Genomic DNA, 21045 nt, shown 5'->3' with positions numbered 1-21045 from the left:
TAGAGAAGAGAGAATAGTATATAGGGATGTCTTTGTTTAAATGGGAGGGCCCTCCAGATTTAGACTTGAAGTTTTAGGAAATTGCTGTAATAAGATTTTTCCTTAGGATCTAGGGTGACCGATATCTTGGCTAGGCAAAACTTAGAGGAAGGTAGACCAGGTATGGTGGCTTATGCTTGTAATCCCAGCACTTTGGGAGGCTAAGGCAAGAGGATCACCTGAGGCCAGGAGTTCAAGACCAGCCTGGCGAACATGATGAAACCCCATCTCTACTGAAAATACAAAAATTAGACAGGCATGTTGGTGCACGCCTGTAATCCCAGCTACTCAGGTGGCTGAGGCATGAAAATCGCATGAACCCGGGAGGCACAGGTTGCAGTGAGCCGAGATCGTGCCACTGTACTCCAGCTTGGGCTTGGGCTGGAGTGTAGTAGTGCGATCTCGGCTCAATGCAACCTCCGCCTCTGTCTCAAAAAAAGCAACTTAGAGGAAGGTAAAGTTATTTGCCCATTTTCTTTTTTTTTTTTTTTTTTGAGACGGAGTCTCGCTCTGTCGCCCAGGCTGGAGTGCAGTGGCGGGATCTCGGCTCACTGCAAGCTCCGCCTCCCGGGTTCACGCCATTCTCCTGCCTCAGCCTCCCAAGTAGCTGGGACTACAGGCGCCCGCCACTACGCCCTATTTGCCCATTTTCTAATTGTAGTAGACCAAAGGCATAAGATCAGAGTTGTAAATGTAATCTCGCTTTAGCTAGTAGTTTCCCAGTGACATCCTCTAAAATCTCTTAATACTGCCAACAGAGAAGCCAAGACCTTTTATGGTTTGGGAGGTGCTGGGAAGCTGAAGAATGAGAGATTGAGTTAATCTACAGAAATTTCTATTTTAGGAACACAGGAAGGGAGAGAAGTTCTGAAATTGCTTAAACAAGTTCCAGTTAGTTCCTTCTTGCTGAAGTATGAGTGAAACGGTTCTATTTATTATCTACTGTAGTAATCCAGTAGTTTGTTTGACTGTGGTGACTTGGTGTTAACATTTTTTTTCTTCTAAATTTTAGAACAAGCACTGGTTAATTAGGCAAGCCAAGACTCCAATGACTAATTCTTCAATACAGTTTTTAGATAATGCATTTAGGAAAAGGTAAGAGCTGCTGCTACATAACAATCTGAGTGGTTTTAAAGACCCTGCAAATCAGCTCATGAAGAGGAGACCACACCACATTGTTGTCTCTGAAACAAAAACAGAGGGAAGCAAGTCAGTGGGAGAGAGGCTTCGATGGGGCACCAGAAGCAGAGAGATTCCTTTACACTCAAATGAATGAGGTGGCATTTGGACCCCAGTACTAATTAGACTGCCCATTTTTAGGACTTGGCAAAAGTCTTGCAAACTTGAACCATGTGGTAGAATTTTTTCTCCTGCTTTAAAGAAAAGGTGACTTGGTTGAGAGAGCCCATTGTCATATGTGACAAATGACCCAAAAGCTTAGACAAGATCAAAATATCTGCCTTTGCCATTTGGAATTTTCAAGAAATTCTCTTAAGTCAATTTTTAAAAATCCATTACTTTCTCTTAGGAAGTGTTTAGTGTAGACCAGGGATAAGCAAACTTTTTCTGTAAAGGGGCAGATAGTAAATATTAATAGGCTTGCAGGTCATACATTCTGTCACAACTACTCAGCTCTGCTGTTGTAGCACAAAAGCAGCCCTGGGTAACATGTAAATGAATGAGCATGGTTGTGGTCCAATAAAACTTTATAAAAACAGACAGTGGGCAAGCTTTGGCCCATGAGTCATAGCTTGCCAGCTCCTAGTTCAAACATCTTAAGCTTTTTTGTAGCACAGTCCTATCTGAATTAATCTGTAATACACAGTACTGAGAATGGACAACTCTTCCTTCCGATTGTCTCTACTCTCATCACTATTGCCAATAAAAAGTAAAGCTAACTGGTTATTTAAAAACGAGTTTATTTCTTTGGAAACAATTAACTTTGGAATGAATTAATTATGTTCTGGAATTTTCTAATCTGTTTTTTACAATGGGAAGGTCTAGGGAATGGAGATTGGGGATTTGAGTTTTGGGGGAGAGTGTTTTGCAATTTTTTTTTTTTAAACGGGGGTTGTTTTGGATTTTTTTTTTTAAACGGGGGTGTCTTTGTTTTTGTTTTTGGTTTTTTTTTTTTTTGGCAAGATAGTGATACCTCAGCCATTGCCCCTGAAGTCCCATTTCTACCTTCTGTTCACATCCAGGTGGCAAACTCTCCTCTCAGTTGATGACCTTGTGGAGAAACTGGTCAAGAGGCTGGAGTTCACTGGGGAGCTCAACAACACTTACATCTTCTATACCTCAGACAATGGCTATCACACAGGTCAGAGGCAGGAGTAGGTACTGCTGTGATCTTTGAGAATATGTCTTTCCTTTTTCACCCAATGAGCCCTGGGAGGGAGTTCTAGTCTTTTTATAACTGTGGACATGCCAGAGGGAGGATCTTGCCCTCAGGACCCCTCCAGTTGGAGCACCACATCATACCCACGTGGAGAAACCAGGTTTCATTATTTGCTGTTTCACATGCAAGATGACATGGTGTTCTAGGAGTGGGAGCAGAGCATGAGCTTGATGGGTTGGAGGCAGGCCGTATGGAAGGCATTTGAGATAGGAAGACCAAAAGGAGGTTGTCTTGGGAAAACTTTCTTGCCATTCATGGAATTTGTTTTTTGGGTGTTTTTGTTTTTTTCAAAAGCTGCAGGATGAGTCAGCTCTGTGTCCTTGACTTTCATGCTTTCTGCTTGGACCTTCTGTTGTTAAAAGCAAATGTTTTCTTCTTTCCACATATATAAATGTCCACTTGAATGGGATTCACTTGAGACTTGCTTGCATAGGAGGAGATCGCTTAGGCATTTAATGCATTATTGTGATTTTTTTGGGGGGCTGGTGGGGGGACAGAATCTCGCTCTGTCACCCAGGCTGGAGTACAGTAGCGTGATCTCGGCTCACAGCAATCTCTGCCTCCCAGATTCAAGCAATTCTCCTGCCTCAACCTCTCGAGTAGCTGGGACTACAGGCACACGCCACCACGCCTGGCCAATTTTTGTATTTTTAGTAGAGATGGGTTTTTGCCATGTTGGCCAGACTGGTCTTGAACTCCTGACCTCAGGTAATCTGCCTACCTCAGCCTCCCTAAGTGCTAGGAGTACAGACGTGAGCCACACGCCTGGCCTGTGAATATTTTTAAACACTCAAAGTAGAGAATAGTAAAATAACCTCCATTATCCAGCTTAGATTTTCAGCTGCATGAGGCCAGTCTTTTGAATTCTTCCTACTCTCCCTGTGTTTTTCTTTTGTTACTAGAAGGTTTTGAAGCAACTCCCATACACATGACTCCAGGATTCAACACCGGATTATGCATCTGACTCTGGTTATTATGTATCAAGATGCAGACCACCAGCCTCAGTGGCTCACACCTATAATCCCAGCACTTTGGGAGGCCAAGGCAGGTGGATCACCTGAGGCCAGGAGTTCCAGATCAGCCTGGCCAACATGGCATAACTCTTTCTCTACTAAAAATACAAAAATTAGCCAGGTGTGGTGGCACATGCCTGTAGTCTCAGCTACTCGGGAGGCTGAGGCAGGAGAATCTCTTGAACCCAGGAGGCAGAGGTTGCAGTAAGCCAAGATCGTGCCACTGCACTCCAGTGTGGGTGACAGAGCGAGACTCCATCTCAAAAAAAAAAAAAAAGATGCAGGCAAAGTCCACATACTACCTTTAGTTCTTGTATCTCCTAACTCTGTCATTTGCCACGAATTTACAGGGAGAAGTGGGTCTTTGTCCATCAGAATGTCTCACATTTTGAATTTGGCTAACTGCTGTCTTATAGTGCCTTAACTTGTTCATCTCTAGTTAGCATTTCCTATAGATTGGTAGTTAGATTAGGGACTTGATAGAAGTTTGCATTTTCAGGTGACAGTGCATCCTCACCTGCTGCTGTGTACTTCCTGTTGCATCATGTCATGAGGCCCGTGGCATCTGGCTGCACTGTTTTTGGAGTGCTGGTGTTGATTGATGAGTCAGGTGGTTTCAGCCTTAGCTCTTCCTATGAGCTTTTCTGTTGTTCCATTGATGATTGCTGCCTAAATTCATTATTCCCTCAGAAACTGCAAAATATTGATTTTGTAATCCTGTCCTTTCTTTTGTATTTATTAGCTGAAATTCCTCAGAGAAGAACTTCCCCTTATCAGTTATTTGGTTATTTTGAGATGCAGTTTATTCAGGAAACACAGGATAGGTGTTTTTGTTCATTTGACAGTTTTTGGAGTAAACTTCATTCAGTTGTGATGAGGCTGAGTAGCATGCATAATTTTTTATGTATTTGTGTTTCAATACTTTCCTGTCATTATTTTTGCTTATTTTGTTCTATCATAAGCCAGGGAGTCCCTTCTAGTCATTTGTTTAGAGAAGATGAATTTGTTGTTTTCCTGCCTTGTAGTAACAAGAGACCCAGGCAAATTTCAGCTTTCTATTAAAACACCAGAATCAGTAGAACAAAGTTGTTTTAGTTTTGGCTGTGGATTAAATGAGTGAAACATAACATGAGCAAGGCTCCTGTCTTGGCTCCATCTTTACATTGTGTGTTTTGTTTTCAGGACAGTTTTCCTTGCCAATAGACAAGAGACAGCTGTATGAGTTTGATATCAAAGTTCCACTGTTGGTTCGAGGACCTGGGATCAAACCAAATCAGACAAGCAAGGTAGGTGCCTGACAAGCTGGTGCTGTGGACAGGTAGGCACTTGCCTGAGAAAATAAGGTGTTTCCTCCTGAGATAAGATTGGTTAGGTTCCTCTTCCCACTAGGGCTGAGCAGCAGAAGAGTTTTTAAGTGGAAACAATGATTGCTTTTTTTTTTCCTTAACTTCCCACTGCTCTCTGTATCTGTATTTTCACCCCACATATACATGTCTCATTAGAATGCATAGCTTTTCTTTGTCTTTTGAGACTAGATCTTTACTTTGTTCTGGAGCAGTGACTCTCAACAGAGGATGTGCATCAAAATTGCCCTCCGAAACTGAAGAAGAAAAATGGTACGTGCTTGGGCAATATCCAGAAAGAGTATGATTGACTCACTTGGTCTGGAATAGGGACCCAACATCTGCCTTTTTTCCTTTTGAAGTTTGCAGGTGATTCTGAGAGGCAGCCTGGTTTGGGGCCCACTGCCTTGTAGAGCAGAGCCCCTCAGGCTTTTCTGTGTGTGAATCCCCTGGGATCTGGTTAAAATGCAGATTCTGCTTCTCCATTTCTGATCAGCTCCCGGGTGATGTCTGCTGCTGGCCTGACCTTGCTTTGAGTATAAGGCTATCAAAAACATGTCTTCTAGGAATTAGTCTTTCCCTGTGCTGGGCTCTTCCTTATGAATGCTTTGTTGCTTTCCTGGTTCTCTCTCCTAGAACTGCCATAATATGCCACATTGTTCTGTTGTCTTTCCCATTTGGTTTCAGTGTCTTTTTCTAAACGTGGTACCTAATGCTGAGGCACTTTGTTCCTAGCAGTCATGAGGACCTTCATCCAAAATACTGTCCTCCAACACTCAGGAGAAAAGAATTGACAGCCTCCACCAGCTATGTCTTCTCTCCTTCCTGATATCACAATTTCAGTTTCAGTCCCAGTTCTGTGAGACCAAGGAAGATGAACAAATACACACTTTAAGCTAAAATTGCAAAGTGGGTTTTTAAATGGGCCAGACTTTCTGGGTATATTGGGTACTTTAGTTTAATTTTGGAGCTTGATGTTTACTTGTTTAAATGTCTATTTTTCACTTATTTCCTTTTAAAACACTCTTGATGGAATTCTGTTAAAATTCTCTTGGAAGGGTAAAATGGCCTTCATAATTACGTTTTGTGTTTTTCTCTGAAGACCCACATTCCTAAAGCTAGTCACTTTTCCCTACAAATTTCAGTGCCTTCTAAACAGGCTTCCTCTTTCAAAGGAGATAAGCAAGTTTAGAAGACCATTAAATCTTAAAAGTGTTTTCTTGAGGTTGGTGTTTGGAACTGATTGAGGAGACCATGTCAGCAGCCATGTTCTGTTTTTAGGAGCAGGGCTACCTCAGCCCACATGGGAAGGAGGCTGAATGAGATCATAGTGAAATGTGTCAGCCAGCTGCCTGTGGAAAAAACTGTTCCTTTTTTTCTTTAAGTTAACATTGCCATCTAAATGTTAAAAATCAGAAACTTCACCTTCTCTAAGCAATCTAAATGAAGTCTGGTTCCTGAGAAGCCATTTCAATAATATAGCTAACATTTATTGAGTGTTTAGTATGGGACAGGTGCTATTCTAAGTTTATTACCTGATTTAACTCATTCAATCCTCACAGTTGATGAGATAGAGGTACTGTTATCCCTATTTTGCAGATGAGGAAAACTGAAGCAGAGAAGTTGTTTGCTGAAGATCACGTAGCCAAAAAGTAGCAGAGCCCTGCATTTGAACTGGGGCAGTCTGGCTCCAAAGTCTGTATACTTAACCATTACATTATAGTTCAGTCAACAAGTATTTATTATCTTCCTTGCCAGCACGGTACACCAAGGAGCCTTGCATACGGCAAGGAGCAATCAAACAAGATGAGTTTTGTTTTGTTTTTTCATTTTTTTTGAGATGGAGTCTTGCTCTGTCACCCAGGCTGGAGTGCAGTGGTGCGATCTCAGCTCACTGCAAGCTCCGCCTCCTGGGTTCACGCTATTGTCCTGCCCAGCCTCCCTAGTAGCTAGGACTATAGGTACCTGCCACCATGCCCAGCTAATTTTTTGTTTTTGTTTTTGTTTTAGTAGAGATGGGGTTTCACCGTGTTAGCCAGGATGGTCTAGATCTCCTGACCTCATGATCTGCCTGCCTCGGCCTCCCAAAGTGCTGGGATTACAGGCGCGAGCCACCATGCCTGGTCACAAGATCAGTTCTTAAATCCTTGTGTCAGGGAGCACCAGATATTTAAGCTGCAGTGGTCAGTGAAAGCCTCTTAGGCATTTGGCATTTGAGCAGATGTGGATGTTGAGAAGGATTTAGCTGTGCAGAGATCTGTGGGAAGAGTGTCCTGAGCAGGACGGTAAATGCGAAGGCCCAGATGTAGGGATAAGCTAGGCTTGTTCAAGAGACAGAAGGTAGCAGTTGTACTGAACTCCTTGTACTTCCTAAGCGGACCTTCTCTGTCACCTCCTGGCTTTTGTACAAGTGACTACTCCTTCCTTCTGGAATGCCCATCTCGCGCCTTCTTCAGCTAGTCAAGTTAATTGTCCTTTAGGGCTTTGGTTTACCGCTCCCTCTGGGAAGTCGCTTCATAATCCTGCTCCCACATGGGGTAGATGCCCCTTCCTATATGTTCCCAGCTGGCCTCACACTTGTCACACCCTATTAAGTTTGTCTTTTTCAGTCTAGGATGTCCTAGAAAAGAGGAACTATCTAAACTTAAAATATCCAGCCCCTAACATACACTGGGGAACATCCACATTGGTTGAATGGATTTTGCCAAGGTCGCAAAGTAAGTGGCAGATCAGGGACTGAAAATTAAGTCTGTGCATTCTCAGAATTTACATTGCTGCATTGACAGGTGTAATTTGAGAAGCATGAAATGCCCCAGCTTTCCCCTGGCACAAAGAATGTCGGAGACGATGGGTGATGCATCATGTGTTGGCAGCATAGTTGTCTCAGTGCCAGCTGTTCTGTGTGAGTGGCACAGGCTTGTGAGTTGGGCATAATGAGCTGAGCTGTCAGCAGCCTTGACAGCCAGATCAGTGCACATTTAACTGACTGGTGGACTTAAGCTGTGTGGGAGAAATGGGACAAGGTCATATGTGTAGATGTCAAAGATTGACTATTGACGTTTTCTCCTCTGACTAGTTTAGCTTTAGATTTGGTGGTAGAAGTTCTGCAAAAGGAATTCTAAAAAGGAAAAGGTTAGTAGGAAAACTAGAATGACACAGCACCGTCCCAGGGAAATAGAACTGAACTGGGAGTCAGGAAGACGACCTGTTGGCTTTGGACAAAATCAGCCTTGGTTCCCCTACTTTTGTAAAAGTAAGAGGATGTTAAGCCTCCATTATCAGGTGGAACCAGGTGATGCCCCAGCTTCTTCCTTGTCAGGAAAGCTGGAACTGAGGGGCAAGTCCAGCTGAAGCAACCAAGATATGGGATTCTGCACTTTCTCATGTAGTTACAGTGCTTTTCACTAAATGGATTTGGGGTGCTTTCTGGTATGTTTGGAGCCTTTTCTTTGATAACTCTACAGAAATTCAACATCAGGGTTTGGGTGTCTGGAAACCTGATGTGTTCTGAGAGCCCGTTGCCATCTTGTTCTTTTCAGTAATTATGCAAGTGTCATTCTTTCAGAGCAAGAATAAGCAGGTTCAATGCATGATACCCTTTGATTTAAGCCCCAGGAATTTTTTTTTTTTTTTTTTTTTTTTTTTTTTTGAGACAGGGTCTTGCTCTGTAACTTAGGCTGGAGTGTGGTGGCACAATCTTGGCTCACTGCATCCTCCACCTCCCAGGCTCAGGTGATTCTCCTACCTCAGCCTCCTGAGTAGCTGGGACTATAGGTGCACACCACCATGCCCAGCTAATTTTTGTTTTTTGTTTTTTGTTTGTTTGTTTGTTTTTGTAGAGACGGGGTTTCATTATGTTGCCCAGGCTGGTCTGGAACACCTGGGCTCAAGCAATCAGCCCTCCTCCCCTCATTACAGGCATGAGCCACCACAGCCAGTCTACCCCAGGGTTTTCTAAGGACTTTCATTTGATTAGGATATTTATATACTTAAATCCTAAGAACATTCTCAACCTGAGAAAGTGATTTATCAAATAATTTATTTTTTTGTCTGGGCATGGTGGCTCACGCCTGTAATCCTAGCACTTTGGGAGGCCAAGGCAGGTGTGGATCACCTGAGGTCAAGAATTTGAAACCAGCCTGGCCAACATGGTGAAACCTTGTCTCTACTAAAAATACAAAAATTAGGCCAGGCGCGGTGGCTCACGCCTGTAATGCCAGCACTTTGGGAGGCCGAGGCAGGCGGATCAGGAGGTCAGGAGATCGAGACCATCCTGGCTAACACAGTGAAACCCCGTCTCTACTAAAAAATACAAAAAATTAGCCAGGTGTGGTGGCGGGCGCCTATAGTCCCAGTTACTCGGGAGACTGAGGCAGGAGAATGGTGTGAACCCAGGAGGCGGAGCTTGCAGTGAGCCAAGATCACACCACTGCACTCCAGCCTGGGCAACAGAGTGAGACTCCATCTCAAAAAAAAAGAGGCTGGGCGCGGTGGTTCACACCTGTAATCCCAGCACTTTGGGAGGCTGAGTCAGGCGGATCACGAGGTCAGGAGATCGAGGCCATCCTGGCTAAAACGGTGAAACCCCGTCTCTACTGAAAATACAAAAAAAGTAGCTGGGCGTGGTGGCAGGCGCCTGTAGTCCCAGCTACTTGGGAGGCTGAGGCAGGAGAATGGCATCAAACCGGGAGGCAGAGCTTGCAGTGAGCTGAGATCGTGCTACTGTACTCCAGCCTGGGTGACAGAGTGAGACTCCGTCTCAAAAAAAAAAAAAAAACAACAAAAAAAAAAAATTAGCCAGGTGTGGTGGCAGGTGCCTGTAATCCCAACTACTTGGGAGGCTGAAGCAAGAGTATTGCTTGAACCCAGGAGGTGGAGATTGCAGTGAGCCGAGATCGCACCATTGCACTCCAGCCTGGGCAACAGAGCAAAAAATCTGTCTCAAAAAATAGATATATTTTTGGTCTTGTCAAAGCTTTTTCTGTTCCAATCCGTAAATGATTTTTTTGTTTGTTTGAGATAGGTGCTCTCTCACCAGGTTGGAATGTGGTGGCTCAAACATGGCTCACTGCAGCCTTGGCCTCCTGAGCTCAAGTGATCCTCCTGCCTTGGCCTCCCAAAGTGCTGGGATTACCAGCGAGAGCCACTGTGCCCAGCCCTTAAATGAATTTTTAAGTTTATACTAGACAAAAGCAATACTGTGAAACTAGTGTTTCTCAAAGTCATCACATTGATGGGTGAATCCATCCAAATTCTTGGTTATATAAAAACCAGAGGTAGGTATAATTCTTTTTAACTCTTCATTCATACTTGGTATTTGCTAGAAGTCTCCCATCTCCTGATATAGTATGCTAATTTTGAGACTGTCCGCTTATTCAAATAAAATTCTAGAAGAGGAGACATTTTATCCATTATATTTAGGGGAGTGTGATCATTATAGATTTCTAGGGAGAAGGAGTCCTGGAATGACTTGTGCTTACGGTACTTGTGCTGAATCTTAGTGACTTTGGATTTATACTGGAACTTACCCCTTTATCTCCAGAGAGCAAAATGCCATTAGAAAGAGCCTCGGCTGGGTGCAGTGGCTCACGCCTGTAATCCCAGCACTTTGGGAGGCCAGGGCAGGCGGATCACTTGAATTCAGAAGTTTGAGACCAGCCCAGGCAACATGGCATTGCTACGAAAAATAAAAAAATACAAAATTTAGCTGGGCATCATGGTGTGTACCTGTAGTCCCAGTTGCTCTGGATGCTGAGGCAGGAGGATCAGTTGAGTCTGGGAGGTCAAGGCCACAGTGAGCTGTGATTGTGCCACTGCACTCCAGCTCGGGTGACAAAATGAGACCCTGTCTCAAAAAACAACAAAACAAAAAAGAGCTTCCCCCCACCTCACCAAAAAAGGAACAAGCCTCCCATTATACAGGTGGTGGCTCTTGCAATTTTTGGTGAGATGACAGTCACCATTTTATATCTCTGGGTTTTTTTATGTTTCCTCTTTTCTTTTAAAACTGCCTTGGACATCATAGTAGTATCTGAGGAACTGGCTTCACCTCATTCATTTTACAGATATCACTGAAGATCTGTTAGTCACACTTCAGGGTCTGTAGATGGCTTGTTGTCTTGATCTCATTCTGGAGATGGTATCTCTCTCTGACCCTCCTTTCCTGCTGTGACCTCTTCCATATTGACATTCACACTTGATGACTGTTTTCCAAGCTGCTCAGTTTGCCTGGGGGTCTTCGAACCAGGAAAATTATCTGTAACAGTGGGTCTTGTATCATCCCTGGAGACATCGTTTTTTGTGTGTGAGGTTTTTCCCCCACTGAGTAACATATGGATTGCCTTTCTCCTGAAGTGCCTGCCTTTGGGCAGTAATACCTGACAGCTGCAGAGTTAGACTAATTGATTCAGGGCCAGGATATTTATCATTCTGCCCTCTAAGAGCTGTCCTGGCCATCAGGAAACCTGGCCCCTGATAATATTCTGAAGCTTTTTTTTTTTTTTTTTTTTTTTGCCTTTCATATCTGTACTTTTGGTTTTGTTTTTAAATTAAAAGTGGCAGGGCTGGGGTGTTTTTGTTTTGTTTTATCTCCCTGTTTGGCCTCTCCTAAGATGATCTAAATGTTCTCAACAGTTTTGAAGACTGTTACTTCCTGTCAGTAAGTAATGGCTTTTCCAGTTATAAGCTGATAACTTTGCTTCAGTGATTTGTGTTTCATTTCTTCACCTATAAACACTGTGTCCAAGGACTGTGATGAGGAATAAATGAGAATAAATGTCAAATGCCTGGCACAGTAAACTTTAGTTCCCAGTTTTTCTCACTTCCTCTTTGTTTCGCTCAATGGATTGTTTCAGTGCTTGAAGATTTTTCTAGCCTGTGACCAAGTGACTTCTATGCTTACATTCTCTCTAGGCCTGCATTATCCACTTGTGGCTGTCGAGCACTTGAAATGTGGATAGTCCAAATGGAGATGTATTATTATTGTGAAATACCAGATTTCAAAGGCTTGGTTCACAAAAAGTTAAATCTCATTGATTTTTTAAAAAATATTGTTTACATGTTGAAATATTAATATTCAGATATTTTTATAGGAGGTTAAAATATATACAGTTTTACCTGTTTTTATTAATGTGGTTATTGGACAATTTTTAATTACATATGGGGTCCCCTTTATATTTCCATTAGGCTACTCTGGATTAGGCCCTGTAGAGGCATTGTCTTACAGAAGGAAAATAGTCTAATAACCAAGGAAATAAGTCAAAGTATAAATACAGGACAATGCCTTTAGTTTCTAGAATGTTTAAAAACATCTAAGTCTTTTGCTCTTAAAAAAACTTTTATTGCTACATTTTTGGAATAAATTTTCTGCAGCCTTCACAGCCTGTTGCAAACATATTTTGGCAGTGTTGTCCCTTTGAGAAGCTATAAAAAGAGCTAATAATTCTCACTGATGGGAAGCATTCCTTTTTTGAGGCCTTCCAAAATGTCTGGAGTTCATTTGAAATCAAACTTAGTTAATCTGAATAATCAAGTTGTAAGACACTTTGTATAAAATAATTAGACCAACATTTTTCTCATGATTCGCAACAAACTCAAAGCAGTCCCAAAGGAGTTTTCAAAAAACATTTTGATCAATAACAGAATGGGTAGAATAAATATGTAACTTGCCAGGGGGATATACTATTATACAAGCCTTATAAGCCTTTATATTTTGTTTGAAGTTATTATAGTTATATTTGGATCTATGAAACAGACCAAAGTATGGGCTGTATAAAAGGTAATAGTGCTGTTGTCTCATGGGCGGGGTGGGGGGAAGAGAACTTTAGTATAGGTAGAAAAGGAAAATGAGACCAGCTGTGTTCTAGATTGTTTTTCCCTCATTCTCATAGATGCTGGTTGCCAACATTGACTTGGGTCCTACTATTTTGGACATTGCTGGCTACGACCTAAATAAGACACAGATGGATGGGATGTCCTTATTGCCCATTTTGGTAAGTATAGCGCCCTCAATCAGGCCTGAGCCAAGACCGCAATAAATTCTGGGTTGTGTAAAGACTTAAGCATTTAAATATTAAATAATACTATTAAATTTGGGGGCAGAAAATCTTGTGATGGGAAGGAGTTTTCTAAAATAAAAAATTAGACCACATGTGAAATCGAGAGTTGTTTCCTCCCCTCTTTTGCTCTCCTTTAAGAACACCCACCATAAATAAAGAGAGGTTGGGAACACACTTGCAACATACATAAAAAAGAGTCATTAGTCCAAATACATGAGTTCTTAGCAAAGATTAATATCCCAGTGGGAAAATGGGCAAAAAAAGTGGCTAATCAATTTGCAGAAGAATTAAAAATGGCTAAAACAAACGCAAAAAGATTACTTCAGTGCTAATCACAGAAATGCTTTAACTGAAGGAGACCTCTCTCTGTGAACTGGCAAAGATTTTTAAAATACCCAAGATTTCAGAAGTCTGAGAATTTGGAAACTGCTTCATATACTTTTCATACAAGTGTAATCAGTATAACTTACCAAGAGTTTAGTTTAACAAGACATACCACTTCAGAGAACACATGTCAAAAACAGTCAGACAAGTTAACTTTTGCCTGTCTGGTGAGTGAAAAGTGGCATTTGGTCTTACTGTGCATCTGTTTGTTTAATAATGAGGTGAATTATTTTTTAACAGCTTAATTCCCATACCATACAATTCACTCATTTAAAGTGTCGGCCAGGCGCGGTGGCTTACGCCTGTAATCCCAGCACTTTGGGAGGCCAAAGGTGGGTGGATCACCTGAAGTCAGGGGTTCGAGACCATCCTGGCCAACATGGTGAACCTCTGTCTCTACTAAAAATACAAAAAACAAGCTGGGCATGGTGGCGGGCACCTGTAATCCCAGCTACTCGGGAGGCTGAGGCAGAAGAATCACTCGAACCTGGGAGGTGGAGATTGCAGTGAGCCGAAATTGCGCCATTGCACTCCAGCCTGGGCAACGAGTGAAACTCCATCTCAAAATAAATAAATAAATCATTTTTTTTTAAGTGTCCAATTCAATAGTTGTTGGTGTATTCAGAGTGGTACAACCATCATCATAATCTAAGAGCATTTTCATCACCCTAAACTCCCAGGCACATTAGTCACTCTAATAGGAGAAAACTGAAAATCCAGATATCTAGTAGAGAATTGATTAAATTGTGGTGCAGGGAATTGATTAGATCTGTTGCTCCCATTCCCACCATGAATCTTCTTTACGTCTGTATAGATTTGTTTGTTCTGAACTTTTCATATAAATGAAATTACATAATATGTGGCCCCTTGTAACTGGTTTTTTCACTGAGCATAGTGTTTTCAAGGATCATATCATTGTAACGTGTCAGTACCTTCTTCTGTTTTACTGCCGAATAACATTCTGTGTGTGAATATATCACATTTTATTTATCCATTCATCAGATATTTGGGCTGTTTCCACTTTTTGGCTATTATGAATAATGCAGTTGTAATGGTTTTGTTTGTTTTTGAGATGGGGTCTTGTGCTGTCACCCAGGCTGGAGTGCAGTGTTGCCAATCACAGCTCACTGCAGCCTCAGTCTCCTACGCTCAGAGGATCCTCCCACCTCAGCCTCCCCAGTAGCTAGGACTGCAGTTGCTGGCTACCACGTCTGGCTAATTTTTTTTTTTTTTTTAATAGTAGAAATGAGGTCTCCCTACATTGCTCAGGGTGATCTCGAACTCCTGGGCTCAAGAGAACCTCCCTTGTTTTCCAAGATTTTAAGAAAAAAAAAAATATCCTCCCCCCTCAGCCTCCCAAAGTGCTGAGATTACGGGTGGGAGCCAATACTTGCTATTATCTGTCTTTGTGATTATTATATTGTAGTAGGTGTGAAGTAGTATCTCATTGTGGTTTTGATTTGTATTTCCCTGCTGACTATTGGTGGTTAGCATTTCATCATGTGTTTGTCAGCCATTTGTATAGCTTCTTTGGAGATGTGTTCATATTCCAATCCTTTGCCCAGTTTTTTTTTTTTATTGTGTTATTGATCAGGGAATCACTTTTCATTTATGCCTTTTTGTGTTTCTTCCCTTGAGAAATGCCTCTGCATTTTTGCGTATCATAGTCTCCTTATTATGACTTGTCTTTTCCATGTATTAAGATATGGGAGCCAGGTGCAGTGGCTCACACCTGTAATCCCAGCAATTTGGGAGGCTAAGGCAGGCTGATCTCTTGAGTCCAGGAGTTCAAGACCAGCCTGGGCAACATGGCAAGACCCAGTCTCTACAAAAAATACAGAAAATTAGCCAGGCATGATGGTGTGCATCTGTAGTCCCAACTACTTGGAAGGCTGAGGTAGCAGGATCGCTTGAGCCAAGCAGGTGGAGGTTGTAGTGAGCAGAGATCACACCACTGCACTCCAAGAATTGAAGGTATATATTGTTTCTTTTAATGTTTAGTGTCCTTTGTGTATTTATAAAGATGCTTCTAAACTTTGAAGCCAGAAAGCTATTCTCCTATATTTTCTCCTAAAAGTTTTATAGCTCTGCCTCTTACATCCAAGTCCTTGATGTATCTAAAATTTATTTTCTTGTAAGATAGGAGTCAGGGATTCAGTTTCTTTTTTTTTTTCTCTATAGATACTCAGTTGTCTTTTTTTGCTCCACGAATCTGTCCATCCCTGTGCCAATATGATTTTGTCTTATAAAGCTGTGTAACTAAATCTCAATTTGCATAGGCATACCTCTCTGCTTATTGTCCTCATGGGGATCCTAGCCCGTGTCTTCCACATACATAAACTTTAGAATCAGCTTTTCAGATTATCTGAAAAATGTTGGCTTTTGGTTGGAATTGCATTTAACCTATAGATCAGTTAGAGGAAATTTTACGTCTTTTAACTTTTCATACAAGTCTTATACTTTGTACCTTATTATGTTTATTTCTTTTTTTTTTTTTTTTTTTTTTTTTTGAGACAGAGTCTAGCTCTGTCGCCCAGGTTGGAGTGCAGTGGCATGATCTCAGCTCACTGCAAGCTCCGCCTCCCTGGTTCACGCCATTCTCCTGGCTCAGCCTCCCGAGTAGCTGGGACTACAGGCACCTGCCACCAGGCCCGGCTAATTTTTTGTACTTTTAGTAGAGTCAGGGTTTCACCGTGTTAGCCAGGATGGTCTCGATCTCCCGACCTCGTGATCCCCCCTCCTTGGCCTCCTAAAGTGCTGGGATTACAGGCATGAGCCACTGCACCCGGCATTAAGTTTATTTCTAATTAGAAAAAAAACTGATTCACTCTAGGGGTAAAAATCATTATGTTGTGTATAATTTCTCTGCACAGTTCTCTAAGTGCCACCTAAGATGTGGTTCTTTTCCTTGTTCATGTTTTGTTTTTGGAGGCTATTCCGATGAAATACTGATGTATTAGAACAGTTAATTAGCCATGTGTGGCTATTTGAATTAAAAATGAAATTCAGTTCTTCGGTTGCACTAGCTGCACATCATGTGCTCAGTAGCCATCATATTGAACAGCAAAGATCGAGAATGTTTCAGCCAGAAAGTTCTGCTGGACTAGCAGTTGGCAGACTACAACCTGTGGGCCAAATCTAGCGCACCCCCGTTTCTGTAAATAAAGTTATATCAGAATACAGCCACACTCATTCATTTATGTATTGTTGATGGCTGCTTCCCTGCTACCTGAGTAGATGTGACAGAGATTGTATAGCCAGGAGCCTAAGTATTTACTCTGTGGCCTTTTACAAAAAAAGTTTAACAACTCCTACAGACCATGAGTCTCAAATTTGGTCAGACATCAGAATCACTCGGAAACTAAAATACTAATGCCTGGGCCTCACCCCTAGAGATTCTGATTTAATTGGCATGAGATAGAATCCCTTGGGATTTTTCAAGTTTCCCTGGTGATTTTAATATGCAGCAAAGTTCAGGAACCACTGATCTAGACTTCTCAGGTGCTCTTTTCTCCTCTGGACACTTTGACATTCAAGGGTGGGATTTTGAAGTTCACTCAATTCTGACAGTTCACTCAATTCCACCTTCTGGCTTCCATGGCTCAGGTTTGGCAGCATCATGAGGTTTGTTTGTTTGTTTTTTCCGAGACAGAGTCTCGCTCTGTCACCTAGGCTGGGGTGCAGTGGTGCAATCTCGGCTCACCACAACCTCTGCCGTCCGGGTTCAAGCAATTATCCTGCCTCAGCCTCCCAAGTAGCTGGGACCACAGGTGTGTGCCACCATGCCCAGCTAGTTTTTTGGTATTTTTTAGTAGAGACGGGGTTTCACCATGTTGGTCGGGCTAGTCTCGAACTCCTGACCTCAGGTGATCCACCCACCTCGGCCTCACGAAGTGCTGGGATTACAGGCGTGAGCCACCGTGCCCAGCCAGCATGAGCTTTTTAAGTCTCCAGTGACTCATGATTTCTGAGATCCTGAGCCGCACAGGATTGTTCAAGTTTCATTGTAGAACAACAAGTTAGGAAATAATTCCTATCTCTAACTCCTCCTTTTCAGGTGGCTGCGGCATTCAAGGCCTTGCACAAGCCGTTACCCATTCCCCACTGTACTCACCCACATTTAGCATTCTTTAGAGCAGTGATTCTCAAACAGGCATTCCCCAGAATTGCCTGTGGGACTTGCTAAAACCCAGGTTGCTGTCTACCTACGTTAGGAACTAAGAATTTGCATTTGTGACAAGTTTCCAGGTGATGCTGCTTGTCCTGGGAACCACATTTTAAGAACCACTTTTTTAGAGCAGTGCTGCTCAGATTTTTACTATGCGTGGAAATCACCAAGAGTTCTTACTAAATGCAGGCTTTGGCTTATTAGAGCTAGAGTAGGACCTGAGATTCTGCATCTCCAAGCTCCCAACCAGACTTTGACCATTTTAAGAGCAGCTTCTAACCTGGTCTTCCTGTCTTTCCACTTTTTGACTGTTATGAATACTGCAGTTTCTGTCTCTAGATTCTGCCACTAAGCTGACTTTTCTAAATCACTGCCTTGATTGTGTTACCTCCCTGCTCAAAAACCTCCTATGATTTCCCATCACCTGCTGTTCTTTATAGGACAAGCCTGGGCAGCATGATGTTCAGGGCCTTTTCCTGTGTGGTACCAGCCTGCCTCTCCACCCTCACTGTGCACTGCTTCCTTGTCTGAAAGCTGTGTTTCAGGAAGCCACACATCTAAGTGGTCTGCGTTCAACCTATATTCATGCTCTTTGAATCTAAAACTTGCTCCCGTTCCTAGATTCTTTCTCCTTTCACCATTTGTGTCTTAAACTTGCTGCTTTCAAATGCTGCCACTTCTTTCCTTCCACACCATGAATGTACATTGAAAAGTGAGTGAATTAATGTACTATACCTTCATTCTGACCATCAAGAGGTGCTTTGAACCTGTTACAGTCTTTAGCACACAAGTCTGTGGAATATTTCTTTATTGTCCTTGTGTCTATTAGGTTATAAGTTTCTTAGTCTGAGCTTAAAACAGTTCTTACATAGAGCATATGACAGTATTATTTATTCTAGTCTGGACTTTCAGCAACTTGCACTGTGACTTTGATTCTTGCTTAGCTACCTTGTCAGGTTCCATTCCTGACCTGATTCACAGAAGTAGCCTTGGGAAGGAACTATTAAATTTTCAAAGCATTTCACCATCGTTTGTAAAGGCCCTTAACTACCAAACATACTGCTCAGTAGCTTTCATATGTACCTGTTTTAGTCATTCCCTTTAGTTACTGAATGAACAGTCCAATTACTTTTGACTCCCAGGTCCCCTTTAGCAGTCAATTACTTTGTGATCTTTATCATAGTCTATGTGCATCACAGAAATTCCACTTGCTCTTCTTTCTAGAGAGGTGCCAGTAACTTGACCTGGCGATCAGATGTCCTGGTGGAATACCAAGGAGAAGGCCGTAACGTCACTGACCCAACATGCCCTTCCCTGAGTCCTGGCGTATCTGTGAGTAATAGCTTGAATCAACTTAGACAGCTTTCTCACTGACAACATGGCAAGGTGCTGGTTGCCATGTGTCAAATATTGAAACCTTTCATCTGAGTCCTGTTCCTTTGTCACTGACTGTGAGTGGTTAGTAGATGGACAAAGGTAAATCCAGTGATCTTGGAAATGATGCTGCTGACCTGTCATCAGAATGTGCACTGTTAATCTTCCAATTTATGTAGCAAGTGCATGTATCCACCCGTGTTCTTATCAATTCCTCTTCCCTGTTTTTCTACCCCTCCCAATAACAGTACCATTTTTTTTTAATTAGGGATAATGTTACTGAGGCATGCAGTAGAGAGATGTGGTTCCTGCCTGTAACCATGCCATTATGAGTGCCTCGCATTGGCGGCAGCCAGGCAGGTCACAAAGAGGGAAACAGCCATGTTGGCCTCACTTTGGAGAAGGGAAAATAGGCTTCCACTTGGAGTTGATTGATTCTTCTAACACCAAAGTGTTACAGTATAATGAACCAACCAAAAGTGCAATAACAGATCATATGGTAGACAAATTAGATTTAAGTCGTACCTGGTGATAAGAACACTCATAAATAACTTACTTGCACATGACTCCACAAAACTCATTTTAGCCTTCTCCTCCAACTTCTTAGGGTGACATTTCCTAGTAGCTCTTAGAAATGAGTCATTTGGGCTGGGTACTGTGGCTCACACCTGTAATCCTAGCACTTTGGGAGGCCAAGGCGGGTGGATCACCTGAAGTCAGGAGTTCGAGACCAGCCTAGCCAACATGCCGAAACCCCATCTCTACTACAAATACAAAAATTAGCCGGGCGTGGTGGTGCATGCCTGTGCTACTCAGGAGGCTGAGGAAGGATAATCGTGTGAACCCGGGAGGTGGAGGTTGCAGTGAGCTGAGATCGCACGACTGCACTCTAGCCTGCACGACAAGAGCAAAACTCCATCGCAAAAAAAAAAAAAGAAAGGAGTCATTTGAGTTGATTTCTTCTCCTTGCCAACCCATACATTTTACAGGTGCCCATTTTAAGTAATTATTGTCAGGAGTTTAGCAGACAAGGATGGCAACAGTCTACAAATGGAACAACCCATATACCTTGATCAAGTTAGCCAAAGGAACAAAACCTCACATCTGTTTTTGAGTTACTGGCTTCCCCATGGAAGGTTTTCTAATTGCTGTCAAATTGCATGTCCGGCATGAGCCAAGCCGATTGCCCTTCTAGGCAACTAGGTATTTGTTACTATGGAAGAACTGTCTTCATTTAACTTTTGAAATATCCCTACAGCAATGCTTCCCAGACTGTGTATGTGAAGATGCTTATAACAATACCTATGCCTGTGTGAGGACAATGTCAGCATTGTGGAATTTGCAGTATTGCGAGTTTGATGACCAGGAGGTAAGAGGGACTTCTGCCTGCACTTCCCCCGCTCCTTTCTTGCTGGTGCTTTGTTGGCTGGACTTGGTGGCATAAGAGCAATTCCAAGGCTGCTCCCTAGGGAAGAGGTTGTGTTTCTTATCTGTGCTTCACTTTAGGTTTCCTTCAGTTGTAAGGCCATGTCTCACTTCTCTAATTGTAATCTTTCTGAATTGAGTTCTCTCCACTCCCACCACCACCCAAATATACACTTTAAATGCACAATTCACGTTTTCAGAATGATAAATGCTTTGTCTGTTAGCTTCCCTGGTAGATTGGTTGGAGCATTTTCTAGAAAGCTTACCAGCACCTGGTGTATTCGGAAACTCCTGTTCCCACCACAGCATAATCCAATGCTGCTGTAATAGATTAGAGTGGGGGTCAGAGGCCCAGGAGTCCATCCATGGAAGAAGGTGGTTTTTGGCCAACACAGGTTGGTATGGATTATCTGAAGGATCCCATGGACTCTAGTCCCTTGTGGTTTCTTACTGTTTATCAGCATATGCTCACCTGCCCCATCTGGCAACCCTCATCTGACCATCTGGAACAGATGCCCATCTGTGTTTCTCAGAAATGGACTCATTCTCCACTCCATTTGCAGCTGATAAGCACTTTGGACAACAAGCAAGAGAGCTTTCCTCAAACTCAGTTCCTGTTCCCTGCTCCCCCATAATGTTTATCAGTTTGATAACTACTTTATAAGTGATTGTGTGAGTGAGGGCAGCTACCTGAAGCCATTATAGGCAAAATTACCTACCATCTTTCTAGCCTCACATTTGACTCCAATTTGGAGAACAGCATACAGATTATAGAGGGAAAAGTACTGCGTTAGACCTGTCTTATTTTAGAAATAATAATTAGTATTGTGTCCTTCCCCAATAT

The 21045-nt window shown here is 42.5% G+C and overlaps 1 protein-coding gene across 1 annotated transcript in view; it reads left to right on the top strand.

Moving 5' to 3' along the window:
* GNS (glucosamine (N-acetyl)-6-sulfatase) overlaps nucleotides 1-21045 on the top strand; it is a 45958-nt gene that overhangs the window by 17667 nt on the left and 7246 nt on the right. Inside the window, exons 7-12 of the mRNA NM_002076.4 lie at nucleotides 1052-1134; nucleotides 2241-2359; nucleotides 4633-4736; nucleotides 12683-12784; nucleotides 18627-18734; nucleotides 20035-20145. Of these exons, the coding sequence (NP_002067.1) occupies nucleotides 1052-1134; nucleotides 2241-2359; nucleotides 4633-4736; nucleotides 12683-12784; nucleotides 18627-18734; nucleotides 20035-20145 (627 nt within the window). The remainder of the gene's footprint in view (nucleotides 1-1051; nucleotides 1135-2240; nucleotides 2360-4632; nucleotides 4737-12682; nucleotides 12785-18626; nucleotides 18735-20034; nucleotides 20146-21045) is intronic.

This window comes from Homo sapiens, chromosome 12 (assembly GCF_000001405.40).
Source record: "Homo sapiens chromosome 12, GRCh38.p14 Primary Assembly".
Taxonomy (NCBI): Eukaryota; Metazoa; Chordata; class Mammalia; order Primates; family Hominidae; genus Homo; species Homo sapiens.
This window is presented reverse-complemented; position numbering and strand designations above follow the sequence as displayed.